Raw genomic sequence first — 18,685 nt, forward strand, 5'->3', positions numbered from 1 at the left:
TTTTTTTGTAGAGATGGGGTCTTACTGTGTTGCCTAGACTGGTCTCAAACCCCTGGCCTCAAGTGATCTTCCCACCTCAGCCTTCTAAAGCACTGGGACTACAGGTGTGACTACCACACCCAACCTGATTTTTGTTCTAATTTTCATTATTTCTTTTCTGCTTGCTTTGGCTTTATTATTATTATTATTATTATTATTATTATTATTGTTTTTAGTTTACCAAGGCGAAAGCTTAAATTACTTGTTTTAGATCTTCTTTTCTAATATAATCATTTGTCAGTGGTGGGGATACATTCTAAGAAATGTGATGTTTGGCAATTTTGTCATTGTGCAAACATCATAGAGTGTATTTACACAAACCAAGATGGTATAGTCTCCTACACATCTAGGCTATATTATATAGCAGATTGTTCCTAGGCTACAAACCTGTACAGCATGTTACTGTACTGAATACTGTAAGCAGTTGTAACACAATGATAATAATTTGTGTATCTAAACATATCTAAACTTAGAAAAAAATACAGTCAAAATATGGTATTGTAATTTTATGGGACCACTTTTGTATATGTGGTCTGTCATTGACCAAAATGTTGTTATATGGCTTATGGCTCATGACCATATGTGCATTCAGTGTTATAATTTCCCTCTAAGCACTATTTTCGTTGCATTCAACAAATTTTGATAAGTTGTGTTTTCATTTTCATTTAGTTCAAAATATTTTAAAATTTCTCTTGAGATTTATTCTTTGACTATGTGTTGTTTAGAAGTGTGGTTTTTATATTTTTAGTAGAGATGGGGTTTCGCCATGTTGGCCAAGCTGGTCTTGAACTCCTCATCTCAAGTGATCCGCCCCCCTCCCAAAGTGCAAAGATTACAGGCATGAGCCACCGCGCCCATGCTAGAAGTGGGTTGTTTAATCTCAAAGTATTTTGGGACTTTGCAGCTATATATCTTTTTCTGTTAAGTGATTTCTAATTTAATCATTGCATGATTTCTATGCTTTTGAATTTGTTAATGTGTGTTTTACAGCCCAGAATGTAGTCTTTGTCTTGGCAAATGTTCTATAGGAGCTTGAGAAGGATGTATATTCTGCCATTGTTGGTTGAAGTAGTCTGTAGATATCAATTACATGCAGTTGATTGATGGAGTTGTTGAGTTCAACCATGTACTTAGTGATTTTCTGCCTCTCTCCCATCACTTGTATCATTGTTGTCATTTATTTCACTTATGCAGCAGTATGTGTAAGCACAGATACACCACACACATTCAAATAAATAGTTGCCCTTATTGTTTTGAATTAACTGTTACTGGTTAGATCAGTCAAGAATAAGAAAAATAAGTTTTTATTTTACCTTCACTTATCCTTCTCCATTGCTCTTTGTTTCTTTGTCTTTAAAGAACTTTTTAAAAACATTTCTTCATAGCATGTCTATTGGCAACAGATTTCCTCAATTTTTATTTGTCTGAGAGAGTTTTTATTTCTCCTTCACTACTGAAGGATAATTTCAAGGTATACAGAATTGCTCCTCTATAGGTAAGGTCCCCTCCTCCGCCCCCACCTGGCTTCTTTCAAGTGTTTTCCTTGTCTTTGATTTTCTGTGGTCTGAATATATGCCTAGATACAGTTTTTGTTTATGTGTGTATGGCAGGGAGCATTTATTTTGGTTGATGTTCCCTGAGCATCCTAGATCTGTAGTTTGGTGTCTGATATTAGTTTGGGATTTTCTCAGTCATTATTGTTTCAAATATATCTTCTGTTCCTTTCTGTCTTCTTCTTCTGTAATTTCCATTATACATATTTACTCCTTTCGTACTTCCACAGTAAATTTTGGATATTCTGTTCTGTGGGGTTTCTTCCAATCTTTTTTGTCTTTGCTGTTTCATCTTGCAGGTTTCTATTGAGAGATCTTCAAACTCAAAAGATTCTTTCCAGTCAGCTATTAAGTCCATTAAATTATTCTTAATTTATGGTACAGTGCTTTTTATCTTTAGCCTTTCTTTGCGGTTTTTTCTTAGAATTTCTAGCGCTCCACTTGTATTGCCCATCTGTTCTTTTATGCTGTCTACTTTCTCCATTTTATGCTCTCTGCTTTCTCCATGAGAGCCCTCAGAATATTATAGCTGTTTTTAATTATTGGTCTGATAATTCCAGCATTTCTGCCATATCTGAGTCTTGTAATTTTTTCTTGATGACCAGACATGTATTGGGTTAAAGAAACTGATGTAAACTGGCCTTTATTAATGTGGTAGTAAGGTGTGTGGGAGGGGCAGCATTCTGTAGCACCATAATTAGGTCTCAGTCTTTTGGTGAGCCTGTGCCTCTGGACCGTGAACTTTGCAAGGGACTTCTCAGTTTTCCCCACTCCTTATTCCTGGATTTTTCGGTGGAACAGGATGGCTGGAGTGGGCTGGGGTTGGTCTGGGTATTTCCCTTTGCCCACATGGAGTAGCTCATTGGAGTTGGATATTTCCCTTTCCCCAGGTCACTTAGTCTCTGTTAAAACCCCAACAGATTAGACTATGATTAAATAGTTTCTCTTAAGGGAACAGAAACTCTGATGTATTTCAAAATACTTCCTTTTCTCCTCCCCCTGCTGTGGAAGCATAAGGGGATTTTTCTCTGTTAGTTATTCATGGTGAGAACCTGGTAAGCTCCTGGAGGTAAAACTCACAAATGTGTGGGGACACTCCTATGACTGGGTCTCCTTGGAGCTGGACTCTCAGACATTCTGCTGTATTCCTTAAGTAAGTACAATTTCAATTAAAATTTAAATAAAAATTTTGCCAAGGGATTATAATCTCAAGCATTTGAGATAGTTTATTTCCCTTTCATTTCCAAATGGAGTAGTTTTATGGAGAAAACTCAGCTTAATAATATCAGAAAGGCTTTTCTAATAGCCACAACTGACTAACTATGACAAGATCAATTTTAGGAAATAGTAACTCTTCCCATCACTAAAATAATTCGGTAAGAAGCTTGACAATAACTTGAAGCCAGTGTTGTAAAGGGAATCCATTCATCAGAAGATATTGACCAGTGCTTCTCAAACTTTAAAGTGCATGCAAATCAACTGCAGATTCTGATTCAAGAGTCTTAGTGTTGGACTTGAAGTAACTTAGGCTTATTTTTGCACACATTCAAGGTGAGAAGCACTGCCTTATTTATAAAAGCTCAGCAATATAACACAATAAAATTGTTTTATGCGGGATTTTTTTTTTTGCTATCATAGGATCCCTCCAGAGTATGGTAGTTATATGATAGTTATAGCAGTCTATGATAGTATATGAGTCCTCTTCTTTTCTATTTGAAATTTTTGAAGTTTTTTTCAGATTGTGTCCTCTTGCTCTGGCTTTCATGAATTCTTTAAGGTGACACTGTTGCTTATTTCTAAAGTTCCCATCGTTTACAGTTTTTTATTGTTTGAGACAGGGTATTTCTCTATCACCCAGGCTGGAGTGCAGTGGCATCATCATAGTTCACTGTAGCCTCTAACTCCTGGCTCAAGCGGTCTTTCTGCATCAGCCTCCTGAGTTGCTAGGACTACAGGTGCATGCCACCACACCCAGCTAATTTTTAATTTTTTTTTTTTTTTTTGCAGAGATAGAGATCTCACTGTGTTGCTCAGGCTGGTCTCAAACTCCTGGCCTCAAGCCATCCTCTAGCCATAGTCTCCCAAAGTGCTGGGATTATAGGTGTGAACCACTGCACCCAGCCATCATTTCCGCGTTTACATCTGTGTTCTTCTTATTGGTCATACTTAGGTCCAAAAAAGTTAGTTTACCAAACACAGACTGTACTTTCCAGGTTATTAAATTATCAATAAGGCAAATTCAGAACTTTTCAGAGATTCTGCCTTTAGGTTCCTTTAGTTTTCCAGGTCAGTTAGGTTCCTATCATTCATCCCTTTGTGTTAGTTTTGTAGATCACTCATTTCCACCTGGCCAGATAGTTTAACTTTCATGTATATTTTTTTCTTTTTATCATTATTCAGATATCTTTCTGCATGTTACTGCTCTTCGATTTTATATATTTTTATATACTAACATATATGGCCTTAGCTTAGAGTGCCTTTCTTTAAGAATAGTAAAGGCTGTTGTCTCTAAGTCAAACTGCTTATGTTTAAATCCTGTTTCTTCTTTAATTGTCTAGCTGTGCAATCTTGAGCAAGTTACTTTGACATCTTTGAGCCCCTAATAAAGATAATGATAATATAAAGTTTATGGTATTGTAATGGTAAGGATTAATATGGAAAGCACTCAATAAATGATAGCTATTGTTGTTACTACCATTATTCGTTTTTACTTTTCTATTTAACTTAGGAAGAAAACTTTGATTGTTGCCTTTGAAATTGTATATTTTACTTTGTATTTATCTTAGGTTCACTTTTTTACTCATACTTGGAGAATTTACGTGTTGATTTATAGCAGTTGAGGCTTTAACTGTTTTCTATCCCCTTCTCAGTTTTCTCATGTGAATGACTGATACCAATGATAACATTTTTCCCCCATAATGTTTTCTGTTGTAAGTAGAACTTTTCTCCCCTAAAATCCAGTGTATACATCTTCATTTTCTTTATCTAGGTTTCCCATCACTTCTGCATTCTGACAGAGAGTGCACATACACATAGATATTACTACTACTTTGATAAAAAAAAATGATTTAAAACGCCGTCTTCTCAACCTTACTTCTTCCCTTCTTTTGGGCTTTCAACAATGGCTTAACAGACCAAGACCATGCTTATTGTACAGTCAAATAGATTGCATGAACAGTTAGGATTTCCCTTTTTGGTAAAATGAGGTATGATTAAAAAAAAAAAGAAACCTTTTTCTGGAGGAGTTTCGTCCAGAAGGAAAACTGTAATAAGATTTTTTTTTTTTTTTTTTGAGACAAGGTCTTGCTGTGTTGCCCAGGCTGGAGTACAGTGGCACAACCACTGCAGCCTCAACCTCCTGGGCTTAAGCAACCCTCCTGCCTCAGCCTCCTGAGTAGCTGGGACCACACAGGCATGCACCGCCATACCCAACTAAATTTTTCTGATTTTTTTGTCAAAGTGAGATGGGGTCTCACTTTGTTGCCCAGGGTGGTCTCAAACTCCTGGGCTCAAGTGATCCTCCTGCCTCAGCTTCTTAAAGTACTAGGATTACAGGCATGAGCCACTATGCCCAGCAGAAAAATGTAGTAGGTTTTAAAAATTCATGAAGGATGCATTTAAATCTCTAATTTTTAATATTCTGTAGCATAAAAATTTTCTATAAGATGGAATCAAATTAACTTATAAAATGAAGAAATATCTATTAATTCCATAAATGCCACTATAATGTATCCTATAGTACATTATATGTAGTAATATTAGTTATGGACATACCTGAGTCTTAACAGTGGAAGTGACGATGATCAATGACAATTACAAAGTCATTATCTACTCTTAGCCATTTCTTATGCATTGAAATTTTGACTTTATATCCTTTCTCCTTTCTGGAGCTAAGAAAATAAGTCTGGCAATGCTGATGCCACTTACCTTTTACATTCAGGTGCAGAGAAAACATTTAGCAAATTCTTCAACTAATTTCTACACTATTGCTAGTTCATCACTGTTGCTTTATGGAAGTATGTAGGTAGATGTGTGGATTGCTTTCCTTCCAAAGACTTCTGCCTTGCCTAAGTAATATTTATATGTTATAAGTACACTATCTTTCATCTTCCCCTGAATTTGTATGCCGTATTTGATGAATTGTTTTCTTACTTCTATATAGAATCTAGAGTGAACTTCCCACGTTAGCTCCAAGTCAACCTAAATTTGACATACCACTCTTAAATTATCTAAATATCTTTGTCCCTCCCACGTGTCACCACTTTCTTATTTTTTTTCTTTTTAACCTCAGTTTCCATTTTGTCACTTGACTTTCTTTTGGGGACCATTATTCACAAGAAAGAAGAATCTGCCTGCCAGTGCAGTCTTACTAGAATGGCAGCTGAATTGAGATGTAGATAGCAGGGTGCTAACTAGTCCTACTCACCAATTAAGTGACTTTTTTTATACCAACCTCTCAGGACTTTCAGTTGCAGATTTATGACTCAGCAAAATTTTCACATTGCTACAGGCCATAGGCCTTTACATTTCCTTACATGTAGGCATAGCAGAGCATATTAAATTCATGAATGCCTATAGTCTCTTTATTCTCTTGGCAGTGAATAGTCTACAATTCTTATGTTTCAGTAGTAGACACTACCAAATATGTATTATAAGGACAGAAATCCTACAAGACAGATGAAGGAAACTCATGGTTATGACAAATAATAAATGCTTTTTTGGTTGTCAGTTGTCTTACTAATAAGTTATATCCAATTCTAAGTATTTATTGTACAATTACACATGTAGAATTTAACTTTGGGAAGACTCTAGTTAGTGGAAATGGATCATCCTTTCTAAGTCAAATTTTTCCATCTTGGTGTTATTTTACTGGGTTTATTATTTGTTAGCTCTCATGTTGCTTTGCATCTTAACTTTAATATGTAATTCTTTTGTTGTTGTGGTTTTGAAAAAAATTAGCAAGAGTCATCTCTCAGTATTTGTGGGGGACTGGTTCTAGCACCTTCGTTGAATTACCAAAATCCACAGATGCTCAAGTCCCTAAAAAATGGTTATTTGCATGTAACCTATGCACATCCTCCCATATACTTTAAGTCATCTCTAGATTACTTATAATACCTAATACAATGTAACCACTATGTCAATAGTTGTTATACTGTAGTTTTAAACTTTTTTATTGTTGTATTGTTATTTTTATTTTTTCCGAATATTTTTTGATCCAAGGCTGATTGAATCCGTGGATACAGAGGGCCAACTTTGCTTTGTTTTTTAGAACAGGGTTATATTTGTGGAGAATTGAGCATGATAATACAGAAAGTTACCATAAACCCACTACCTCCTCCATATACAATTTCCCCTGTTATTACTATTCTGCATTAGTGGGGTACATTTGATATAACTGATGAATCAACAGTGATACATTATTAGCTAAAGTTCATATTTTATATTAGCATTTACTCTTTGTGTTAAACAGTTCTGTGGGTTCTGATAAATGTATAGTGTCTTATATCTACCATTATATTACCATATAGAATAATTTCACTGCCCTAAAGTTCCTTTCTGTTCCGCTTATTCATCTCTTATATCCTGCAACCCTTCTGTGATCACTTGTTAGTTCCAGGAATTTTATTCTTTGTTGTTTTTTTGTTGTTGTTGTTTTGTTCTTTTTGAGACGGAGTCTCGCTCTGTTGCCCAGGCTGGAGTGTAGTGGCACGATCTCGGCTCACTGCAATCTCTGCCTCCTGGGTTCAAGCAATTCTTCTGCCTCAGCCTCATGAGTAGCTGGGATTACTGGCGCATGCCACCACACCTGGCTAATTTTTGTGTTTTTAGTAGAGACGGGGTTTCACTATGTTGGTCAGGCTGGTCTCGAACTCCTGACCTCGTGATCTGCCTGCCTTGGCCTCCCAAAGTGCTGGGATTACAGGTGTGAGCCACTGCGCCTGGCCTGTTTTTTGAATTTTCTACATAGGCAGTAATGTCATCCACAAAGAGTTTTATTTTTTACTTTATAATTGGTATTTTTCTTGTTTCATTGATATCATTATATAATTTTTCTGCAATTGATGTGATAGAATACATTAATTGATTTCAAATGTTTAACTAGCCTTGCATACCAGGAATAAATCTTTTGAATTCTTTTCTTTAGCAGTAAAATGTTTAAATCTGGTAGCTGCTGGACTGCATAGTTTCACCCAGTTCAGACAAGTCCGTATCACTGGAGGAACATGTTCTACATTTGTTATGTCAGTGGATCATGTGTTAATGTTAAAAAGCTATGAAATATGTCTTTCATGGAAAAGAAATTAATGTTCATACATTTTAAATGTGGCTCATTTACTTCAGTTTATTTTAATGAACTGTAGAACTCTTGGGAGAAACATTTAAAAATCCTTAAGTATTTTGCAGGGTTGGGAAACAAGATTTTAAAATACATTCAAGAGGGAAAATACACTCTTGAATTATTTCAGTCATTATATTCAAAGCAATTTATTCTATTTGTTAATATTGATTTAATTTATATTCTACAGCTATTTGAAATATCAATTAAAAATATAATGTGTTCAGAAGTAGCAAGTTATTCTCGATTCCTTATCCTTAGTGTGTGTACTTTGAAAATAGTTATTTTACATTTATGGGCTTTCCTTTTGCTTAATCTGATCTACTTTTGAACAGTTTAAAAGCATAATGAAAAAGCAGTTTGAATGATATAAATGTGATATCAATATTTGATTAGTGTTGTAATAAATGAGGAATGAATGAGTCTTTTTTTTTTTTCTTCTTTGCAGTCCCCAAAGCTCCAGAGATAGATCCAGTAGAGTGTTTGGTGGCAGATAACTCTGTAACAGTGGCTTGGAGAATGCCAGAAGAAGATAATAAGATTGACCATTTTATACTGGAACATAGGAAGACTAATTTTGATGGACTTCCACGTGTAAAGGATGAGCGATGCTGGGAGATAATTGATAATATTAAGGGTACTGAATATACACTATCAGGTAACATGACTGCATTTTAGGACTCTCATTCTCAGAAGATAAATGTATTGTTGAAAAATATTTTGAGTTACTTTAAAGAATAAAGTTTTAAAGTTTCTTTAGTCACACTGAGTTTTTAGATACTCAGTATGGAAGTGATTTTCTCTTGAAACATCAAGGAAACCCTTTTTTTTTTTTTAAGACAGGATCTTGTTCTATTATCTCCCAGGCTGGAGTGCAGTGGCGGGACCTTGGCCCACTGCAACCTCCGCCTCCTGGGTTCAAGTAATTCTCCCACCTCAGCTTCCTGACAAGCTGGGACTATAGGCACACGCCACCACACTTAGCTAATTTTTGTATTTGTTGGTAGAGACAGGGTTTCACTATGTTGACCAGGCTGGAAACCTTTGTCTTTATTACTTTTGGACATTTGTAACATAGTGAAACAGAATATATGTAAAATATATATGAAGGGATATTCTGAAAATAGTATTTCAGAATAACATTTAATTTTTACCTTGGTTTTCTGACTCTTAAAAAGCTGTTGGTTTTTTAGATGTTCTCATTACCCATTTCACTGATAATGTAAATACTGTAGCTTTTACTGTTTCAAGATTACCTTCATGTTAATAATTAACAAAGACCTGTGACTTGGTATAACAATAGAAATTTGTGTTGACCTTTTGAAAGCCTTTATAAGAATGTCTCAGTATATAGTGGACTTTGGATATTTGAAATGGCAAAATATTGCCTGAGTTGTCCAATGCTTATTACGCATGAGGAGTAATATTAGGAGCACCATTATTGAGCAGTTACCATTTATCAGGAGATGGGCTCAAGTGTATTACATATAGTACATCTCATTTAATCAGCATAATACATCTCATTTATCTTTACAACAATTATGAAGTTGGCTTTATTATTTCTGTTCTACAGCTAGAAAACAGGCTCGGTCAAGTTGTTGACGGTCCCATAGCTAGTAATTTCAAAACTGAGATTTAGTAATCCAGACTGTACTTCAAAATGTTTGTTAGTAATCTCTGCTTTACTTCCTCTTTAAATTCATTTTCACATAAAAAACGTTTCATAAATATAAAAATTATTTAGGGTGTTCACTTTAAATTGAATATGTTATTGTAAATTGTACCATCTCTCTCTGAGTGAAATACTACTTTTAATGAGGCCTGAAAGGGTACTTTTTAATCACTGGGTTAAAATAACAGTTGATAAACTATATGTGTTTCTTTTGAATAAAATAATAATTAAATCATGATTCCTCTTATTTTGAGCATATCACTCTTCTTTTTTTTTTTTTTTTTTTGAGACAGAGTTTCACTCTTGTTGTCCAGGCTGGAGTGCAATTGCACGATCTCGGCTCACGGCAACCTCTGCCTCCCAGGTCCAAGTGATTCTCCTGTCTCAGCCTCTTGAGTAGCCACGCCCGGCTAATTTTGTATTTTTAGTAGAGACGGGGTTTCTCCATGTTGGTCAGGCAGGTCTCAAACTCCTGACCTCAGGTTCGGGAGTTGGCCTCCCAAAGTGCTGGGATTACAGGCGTGAGCCACTGCGCCCGACCACATATCACTCTTTTTTTTTTTTTTTTTTTTTGAGACAGAGTCCTGCTCTGTCGCCCAGACTGGTGTGCAGTGGCGCGATCTCAGCTAACTGCAAGCTCCGCCTCCCCGGTTCACTCCATTCTCCTGCCTCAGCCTCCCGAGTAGCTGGGACTACAGGCGCCCGCCACCACGCCTGGCTAATTTTTTGTATTTTTAGTAGAGACCGGGTTTCACCGTGTTAGTCAGGGTGGTCTGTATCTCCTGACCTTGTGATCCGCCCACCTGGGCCTTCCAAAGTGCTGGGATTACAGGTGTGAGCCACTGCGCCTGGCCCACATACCACTCTTTTAACAAATTCATACTCTTCCTGAATACAGAGACACGGTTCTTAATGCCTGAAGGCTCATACTCTTACTTTTGGGAATAGAATCCTTTACTGTACATGTCTGAAAACCATGTTTTCGTTTCTTCAGGCTTAAAATTTGATTCAAAGTATATGAATTTCAGAGTGCGAGCTTGTAACAAGGCTGTGGCTGGAGAGTATTCTGATCCAGTGACTCTAGAGACCAAAGGTGAGATCAGTAGCTCTTTATACAGCATAAAACAAAGCTTAACATCTGAAGTTATTCATAACTTTGTAACAGGAAGCACTTCATGTGATGTTGAATTACTTCTCTACTTCTCCTAGCCTAGCTTTCTCAACAGTAAGAATTTTAAGGGAAAATAGGACTACAGTAGTGGTTTTCATTGGGTTTTCTTATATGATTTTATTTATACAGATAAAATAGACTGAGATGATGGTATTGTATTCTCTGGGAGATGCTTAATTTATAAATTTCAATCTTGTTATAAATAGGTAAGTATCACTGAGATTTGCCCAGAGTTTTCCCATAGAATGGATTATGAATCAATATTGGGGAAGTATCTGTTTAGTTCAGGTCCTCTCTGTTTTCCTGTATCTTATTGCAACAGTTAACGTTTATATAGTTTATTAATGGTTACAAAACACTTTCAATTCTTTATTAGATAATTAAAGTCATCTTGAGAGATCAATATGCTAGATATTATTGATACCCATATTGCAGATGAAAAAATAGAGTTTTCATATATTAAATGACTTTCCCATGATCCCTAGACCTAGTTTGGAAAGGTGTGAATAAGAATCCACTTCTGAGTTTTGTGCCAGCCCTTACTATGAGCCTGGAACCTAGGTTCTTCTAGTCTCTGAAAGCAATTGGGGTTTAATGAAAACTCCCTAGAGTAGCAGACTTGAATACAGAGGATTTTTTAGATATTTACCAATTTGAAGGTTATAATGCTGGAGACTTTCCTAGTTGTGAGATGGTTATTGACTGGGTTTAATTCCAGAACCAGACTCTACACATTCTTGTAGGCACTTGGGACTTAAGGCATTCCACTGACCTCTAGTTCATATAGCATTTGAATAGGTTTACCTGCCAGAAATTTGATTGGATTTGGAGGATGACAAAAAAAATCATATAATAAAACAAAATATAAGGCCTATAAGTTATTGATGAGACAAACTCAGAAAAATGTTTGCATCACAAAGGTCTGAAATAAAGTCTATCTTGAAGTAATTTGTTTGGATTAGCAGATGTTTCTATTTGAGAACTATAGGTAACTTAGCCAAGGAATGCAGTTAACTCTGTATTACATGTTATCAAACTGAGATGTTATTGTGGTTTCTGTAGAGGTTTTTACCATTTTAAAATAATAGTCATATGTAGGCAGATAATCTTTTCTATATAACTTGAACTGTTTTTAGCCCATCAAGTAAAATTCATTACTATTATTCTTCCTCAAGAGCATCATATTTTTAAAATTTCTTTTGTTTCTTTTCATTTACTGTTCATATTTAATGACCAAAGTTGGACCTAAATGTGGTGAATTATAATTTCTATGCAAATTTCATAGATACAGGAAAATGAATCACTGGCTTGTGGTTTTCTTCCAGCTGGGCTGGCTGCTCCTATTAGCAGTGATTGGATGTTACTGGTCAAACTCTTAATCATGGGGTTTGTAGAGAGAAACTAAGTTGATTCTAGGCCTTTTCAGCACTTCTTCACTGTTGAGTAAACCCTCTGCGGTAGGAATAGACTGAAACTCAACTCTGAGACCCACAAAACAGTGATTCTGACCTTCAGGGAGTTCCAGAATAAAGTTAGACTCCTACATGGCCATGAGTCACAGATTTTCTAGGGTTATTCCATAGCATTAGTGGGGCTACTAATGAGAGTAAGAGCTGCAGAGGAAAAGTCCACATTTTTACCAATGACACACTGAACAGTTGTTTACCAATTTATTTGGCTTGTTGCAGCCTTTTTCAACCAACCAGTAGAAATTAGGGTATGGACAAAAAACTGGAGAGAAAGGAAGAAAGGTGGAGATTGAGTAGTTGAGCCTACCAAAATTTCATATACTTCCACTTAAGGTTCTTGATATGGAAAATAGTGAACATTGTTTACTTCTGCCCTCCAACATATGAAGCACTATTTCTTCTGGCATTGAAATTCTCAGAAGTCATGAGTAATATAAGTTCTTATCACCAGAATATTTAGAGTATATTATTAGTTATTTTCTTGTGAAGGTAAATGATATTAAATTACTAAATCACAAATTATTCTCCAACTTTAATTGATAGCAGCTATGATATAATTTTATAGTACCAAGAAAGCAGCCACTCGCACAAGTTAAACATATGAAACATATCTGTACTCTGATTTTTGGTACTTTGTTTTCACAGACTATTAAAGATACGGGAACCAGTATCTAGTTATATTATAGGACTTATACAAGAGATAGGACCTCACTTTTGAGGCTAGTCTTTTTTTTTTTTTTAACTATAGAGTATTATCTCTGTTACATTAGAGGAGCTCTATAACTTAACTGAGGTCCATAAGGGGTAGTGTCCACAAAGAAAGAGAGATACGAAAATGACACTCCTTAGGCTTGAAATCCATGCCTTTTTGTTTGGATGCTGCAGTATTTAATAAGTATGGTCTTAAGTGGTTTTCAATGGTACTATCTATTTTTTTTTTTTGCCACCTTTGACACCAGTATTGCTGGTGGCCCTTCTCTCCAGCATAACAAACATTAGGGGACAGCCTTAGGATTTCTTCCTTTTTTAAAAAAACAGCCTTAGGATTTTAGCAAGCAGTTGAGAATTGGTGGCACCTTAGAGTTAAATCCAATATTCTTTCTCAAAAATGTAGAAGCTCTCACATGCATTACCTAGTAGCTCACATATAGATGTTAACTTTATTAAGGCAGTTCATTCTTGGAAATGCAGGGTATAAGTTTTACTTAATCCTAACCTTTTGGTAACCTGTCTATTAAGGAATTCTATTTCTGTTTTTACTAAAAAGCTGCATGATTGCTGCATTATCTCTTTTTTCTGTAAGTTCATTTCTGTTTAAATGCAGATGTTGAAAGCTGTGAACTTCCTTGTACTGTATGACATTTACTGGAAGCTCTGTGGTCAGTAGATTTGTATTCAGAATGTTGTTTCATAAATAAAAAACAATGAACAATAGCTCCAATGCATAGTTGAAATTAAAGTGCTCTTTACAGAACAGTAGGGGATAAAAGGATTATTGATTCATTAGGTAAACAGTTATGTATCATCAAACAAAATAAACCTATAGAGAGTCATAGTTCACAGACACACTGAAGCCTTAGCTAAATTAAGTAATATCCATAAGTGAAATAGGGTTCTGTAAAGGGATACTGTATTTCTTAATATATACTAGAAGTTTGAACCTTTGGAGGGAAATAGAACTAACAGGCAGATTAGTTAGTAACTGTGTAATAGCTGATACCTTGCAAGATAGAGATTCCGAGAGTTATATTTTAAGATAAAAGGAATGGTGTGATTAGCCATGAATCAGTACATTCTAATGATTTACCCTCAGTTTCCAAGGAAAGAAGCTTATACCTTGCTTCACTGATTTCCTAAATTCCTAAAGCAGTTCTGAGTAAGTCTTGTGAAAAGTATAGTTAATTCCTCAAAATATTAAATAATCTGGAAGTCATAGTTTTATGGTTTTTTTTTAAATTTATGTGGTTCTTTTCCCTCTGTACTCTTCGTCATGTAAATTATCTATCAGCTGGGCCAGTTTCCTTGTTCTGCCATCACGGCCTCAGTTTCTCTATGTTTGCCTTACTTTGAAACTGACAGTGTAGGTATGAAATTATTAAATATTAGAGTATCAGAGAAAATGTGTATGCCAGGTTCTATAATTTTTTACACTATGTAATTTTATCCTTCTCCTTAATTCTTCCAGTTCCCCTTCCTATTTAGTCATAACAGTCAACTGATATCCTAATAACAGGAAATTTAGGTTACTGTGTACTCATTGAGATTTTAGTAGAATGAACAGGAGAAATGTCAGTGACCATGCAAGTACATTGTATTTGGTTGGTGTATAGGATATATAGAGAAGAATAATGGGAAATCAGATAAGAATTATAAATTATAGCCTGATTATTGAGAACTTTAAGTGCTAGGATTATGAATTTGAACTTTATTTTCTGTATTCAGTATTGAATTGATTGAGTAGGAAAATAATGTGGTGATAGCTGTGTTTCAGAAAGTGGAGATATGCTATATTTTAAAAATATATTTAAATATTATCTTGAATAGCACTTAACTTCAATTTGGATAACTCCTCATCCCATTTGAACCTGAAAGTTGAAGATACATGTGTAGAGTGGGATCCTACTGGAGGAAAAGGTCAAGAAAGTAAAATTAAAGGAAAAGAGAACAAGGGCAGGTAAGCTAGACCATTAAATCTGCCATATGGACAAATGCTTGTACACTGGTTCTTATTTAACAATAACTTTTATTGAAATTCTTAGTCAATATACCTATGAGAGTTACAGTATATTAGTAGCACCAAAGTGAAGAATATAATACTATTTGTCAGTAGTTTAATAGGTCATTAACATTTTTTATTACTTTTTTTTAGTTTCATCCCTAATCCTCTTACACATTTTCATTTCAGTATTCCATTTCTTTAAAGTTATATATACAGCAACTTGAATTGCTTAGAAGAAGTTTCTAGTATAATTCCTGAATTTTAGACTTATAGATCACCTATCTTACCTGCAGGTCTGGTCTGCACTAAATGACAGCGTTTAATAGGTACAACCCTAGGGTCTTGCCTCTGATCAGCAACACAATGAACCTAAGAGGCAGGTTCAAGGACCTTTTGTTACTGTCATAACTAACTTATTTAAATAAAGTCAAAACATGGGATCCTCTTTCTTTTTTAATAGAAGAAATTTTTGCTCAAACTGAAGATAAATGCCATTGTGAGTTACAGTAATGAATCCCCAAAAATTCCTCAGCAGGCCTTTAATCTGATTTCATTATAAGCTGTTAAATTTAAGTTGTAAAACAGTTTCTTAACAGTTGCCTGTTTTTATCTGACAGTGTCCATGTTACTTCACTGAAGAAACATACAAGGTGATGATCTATGTCTGTCTAGTTCTAGGACTTAGTAAAATCTAGCTTGGCTGATTAAAAAAACTTTAATTTTATCTTTTAACCAATAAGCAGAAGCCATTGCGGCAGCCTTCATAAGCTAAAATACTGCTCTGTGTAGACTGTATTGGTAGCTTATGTTTTGAATTTACATTGTAGTGTGCTGCATATTATTTGGATTATATTGTATATGGTAACAAAATAAGCTCTGCTTTAAAGTCTTTCTTGAATTTTTTTCCCTTATCTGATTTATTTTTCTGCTTTTACTCATACCTGGCATCTTTCTTGTTGTACTGAATAATATTCGTTAGTCTAACATTATAGCTTCGCTTTTATTTGTATTTGACACACAGCAGGTTTGAAGAGTTCTCTGTTTTATAATAATTAGGCAGTTTCAGGAGCAACAAGGATAAAAAATAAAGGCCATTGCTAAAATTATCAAGACAGTTCCAGAAAGATGAATGGTTTCAATTTGCATGAGTAATAATGTGCTTATTTGAAGATACTACATATCTTTACTGGAAACCAGAATGTGTTCTCTTTTCAAAATTATCTTCCTCTTATTTTCAGTTTATGTACTTGTTATTGGTAAAAGTGATTTTATAGTGTATTATAAATTGGAAAATGCTGAATTTAATAGTCTATGAGTAGACTACATATTTATGATTTAAGGTTATATTATTTCTCCCTTCCTACTTTTTAAGAGTATTTTACGTATAGGCTACTTGTCGAATGTTATATGCATTTATATATTCTTTCCATAAATATTTGTTTGCTGTAGGATGTCTGCTGGATGTTATAGGATTTATAGGGATAAACACTGTCTCTGCTTTCAAGAAATTTGCCCTAACTTATGTAGATGAGATGTATGTACAAGTAGCAATAATGCAAGGTAGACATATGTAGAATTGTAAGTGTGAATAAAGGTATTCAGAGGAAGAAAGATGCCCAGAGCTGCCAGATGTTGAGGTGGTTAGGTAGGATAGCCAAACTAAAGGTAATAATCAAGCCTTTATTGATTTGCTGTGATAGTATAAGCAAGAGGCCACAAAGGAAAGAGTATCCACTACCCCAGTGTTCAATTTTTCCCAACAGAATGGCACTGGGTGAAGGTCATGTAAATCAACACAGATCACAAGTAGTGGATCTTCTCACTGCCAGCAAGCCCCAAACAAAAAGGTTCCTGCCAGTTTATGGGCCTGAGAGTCAAGAAGGTGGGGAGTGAGGGGCTAAAATGGGAAAGATACTAAAACAGAGTGGAGAAAAGTGTTTTCAGACCATCACTCCTCCCCTGACCTCTGCCCTAAAGCAGTTTTACGCAGAGACACCTGAAAAGCAACTCAGCCTAGGGCCTCCCTCCAGTAAGGGGACCTCTGAATAGAGGTGCCTAGGGTAGGATTGCAGATACGGTATATGATCATGATGGGGAGAAGAGTGGAATTGCAACTCTCTCTCGAAACTACAGTGCACTAGCTGTGCACCAAGTCTGGTGCGAGAAGGGCAGCTCACCCTACCCTGTGCCCCCACCCTGCCTCATCAACGCCCGCCTACGCTTGGGCCTGAAAGATCACATACAGGGCACATGCGCGTCACTAGATGGCACGGCTGTCTTCTTTCCAGGAGAATTTCCCAAGGACTGCTGGCTGGAAGTTTGTGGCTAATGTGGAGCTGACCGTAGTTTGCCAAATTAAGAAAACGCGCCAGGCATTCTTAGGAAGAAAGATGTGCCAGATTTGATCTTTAAGATGGCTAAATAGGAACAGCTCCAGTCTGCAGCTCCCAGCAAGATAGACGCAGAAGGCAGGTGATTTCTGCATTTCCAACTGGGGTACCCGGTTCATCTCATTGGGACTGGTTGGACAGTGGGTGCAGCCCATGGAGGGCGAGCTGAAGCAGGGTAGAGTGTTGTCTCACCCAGGAAGTGCAAGGGGTCAGGGAATTTTCTCCCCTACCCAAGGGAAGCCATGAGGGACAGAGCCTGAGGAACGGTGCACTCCGGTTCAGATACTGCACTTTTCCCACAGTCTTTACAACCTGCAGATGAGGAGATCCCTTCTGGTGCCTACCCCACCAGGGCCCTGGGTTTCAGGCACAAAACTGGGTGGCCGTTTAGGCAGACACCAAACTAGCTGCAGAAGGTTTTTTTTTTTTTTTCCATACTCCAGTGGCGCCTGGAACACCAGTGAGACAGAACCATTCACACCTTTGGAAAGGGATGCTGAAACCAGGGAGCCAAGTGGTCTGGCTGGGCGGGTCCCACCCCCATGGAACCCAGCAAACTAAAATCCACTGGCTTGAAATTCTTGCTGCCAGCACAGCAGCAGTCTGAGACTGACCTGGGACGCTATAGCTTGGTCGGGGGAGGGGCGTCTGCCATTGCTGAGGCTTGAGTAGGTGGTTTTCCCCTCATAGTGTAAACAAAGCTGCTGGGAAGTTCGAACTAGGTAGAGCCCACTGCAGCTCAGCAAGGCCACTGTGGCCAGACTGCCAGATTTCTCCTCTCTGAGCAGGCCATCTCTGAAAAAAAGGCACCAGCGTCAGTCAGGGACTTATAGATAAAACCCCTATCTCCCTGGGACAGAGCCCCTGGGGGAAGGGGCAACTGTGGGTGCAGCTTTAGCGACTTAAACGTTCCTGCCTGACAGCTCTGAAGAAAGCAGCGGACCTCCAAGCACAGAGTTCAAGCTCTGCTAAGGGTCAGACTGCCTCCTCAAGTGGGTCCTTGACCCCCGTGAATCCTGACTAGGAGACACCTCCCAGTAGGTGCCGATAGATACCTCATACAGGAAAGCTCTGGCTAGCATCTGGCAGTTGCCCCTCTGGGACGAAGCTTCCAGAGGAAAGAACAGGCAGCAGTCTTTGCTGTTGTGCAGCCTCCGCTGGTGATACCCAGGCCAACAGGGTCTGGAGTGGACCTCCAGCAAACTCCAGCAGACCTGCAGCAGAGGGGCCTGACTGTTAGAAGGAAAACTAACAAACAGAAAGGAATAGCACATCCACTCAAAGACCCCATCCGAAGGTCACCAACATCAAATACAGAAGGTAGACACATCC

At 36.9% G+C, this 18,685-nt stretch overlaps 1 protein-coding gene across 16 annotated transcripts in view, besides 2 other annotated features; it reads left to right on the forward strand.

The window, feature by feature from the left end:
* The window catches only part of FSD1L (fibronectin type III and SPRY domain containing 1 like), a 110,257-nt gene that overhangs the window by 55,842 nt on the left and 35,730 nt on the right, over positions 1 to 18,685 (forward strand). For 9 of the 16 annotated variants that reach the window (XM_017015185.2, XM_011519079.3, XM_011519078.3 and 6 more), the window contains 3 exons: positions 8,381 to 8,590; positions 10,599 to 10,697; positions 14,789 to 14,918. In XM_017015185.2, coding sequence (XP_016870674.1) covers positions 8,381 to 8,590; positions 10,599 to 10,697; positions 14,789 to 14,918 — 439 coding nt within the window. Of the gene's footprint in view, positions 1 to 2,629; positions 2,746 to 8,380; positions 8,591 to 10,598; positions 10,698 to 14,788; positions 14,919 to 15,580; positions 15,614 to 18,685 lie in introns of those variants that run through there. The other 7 variants (XM_011519077.3, XM_005252254.3, NM_001330739.2 and 4 more) reach the window with 2 other exon arrangements.
* Positions 2,519 to 2,638: an enhancer, noted in NCBI's record as "active region_28739". NCBI's record gives its function as "activates an Ori minimal core promoter by ATAC-STARR-seq in GM12878 lymphoblastoid cells {active_cell/tissue: GM12878}" and the evidence as "EXISTENCE:reporter gene assay evidence [ECO:0000049][PMID:35858748]".
* Positions 2,649 to 2,698: an enhancer, noted in NCBI's record as "active region_28740". NCBI's record gives its function as "activates an Ori minimal core promoter by ATAC-STARR-seq in GM12878 lymphoblastoid cells {active_cell/tissue: GM12878}" and the evidence as "EXISTENCE:reporter gene assay evidence [ECO:0000049][PMID:35858748]".

The sequence above is a fragment of the Homo sapiens genome, chromosome 9, assembly GCF_000001405.40.
Source record: "Homo sapiens chromosome 9, GRCh38.p14 Primary Assembly".
Lineage (NCBI taxonomy): Eukaryota > Metazoa > Chordata > Mammalia > Primates > Hominidae > Homo > Homo sapiens.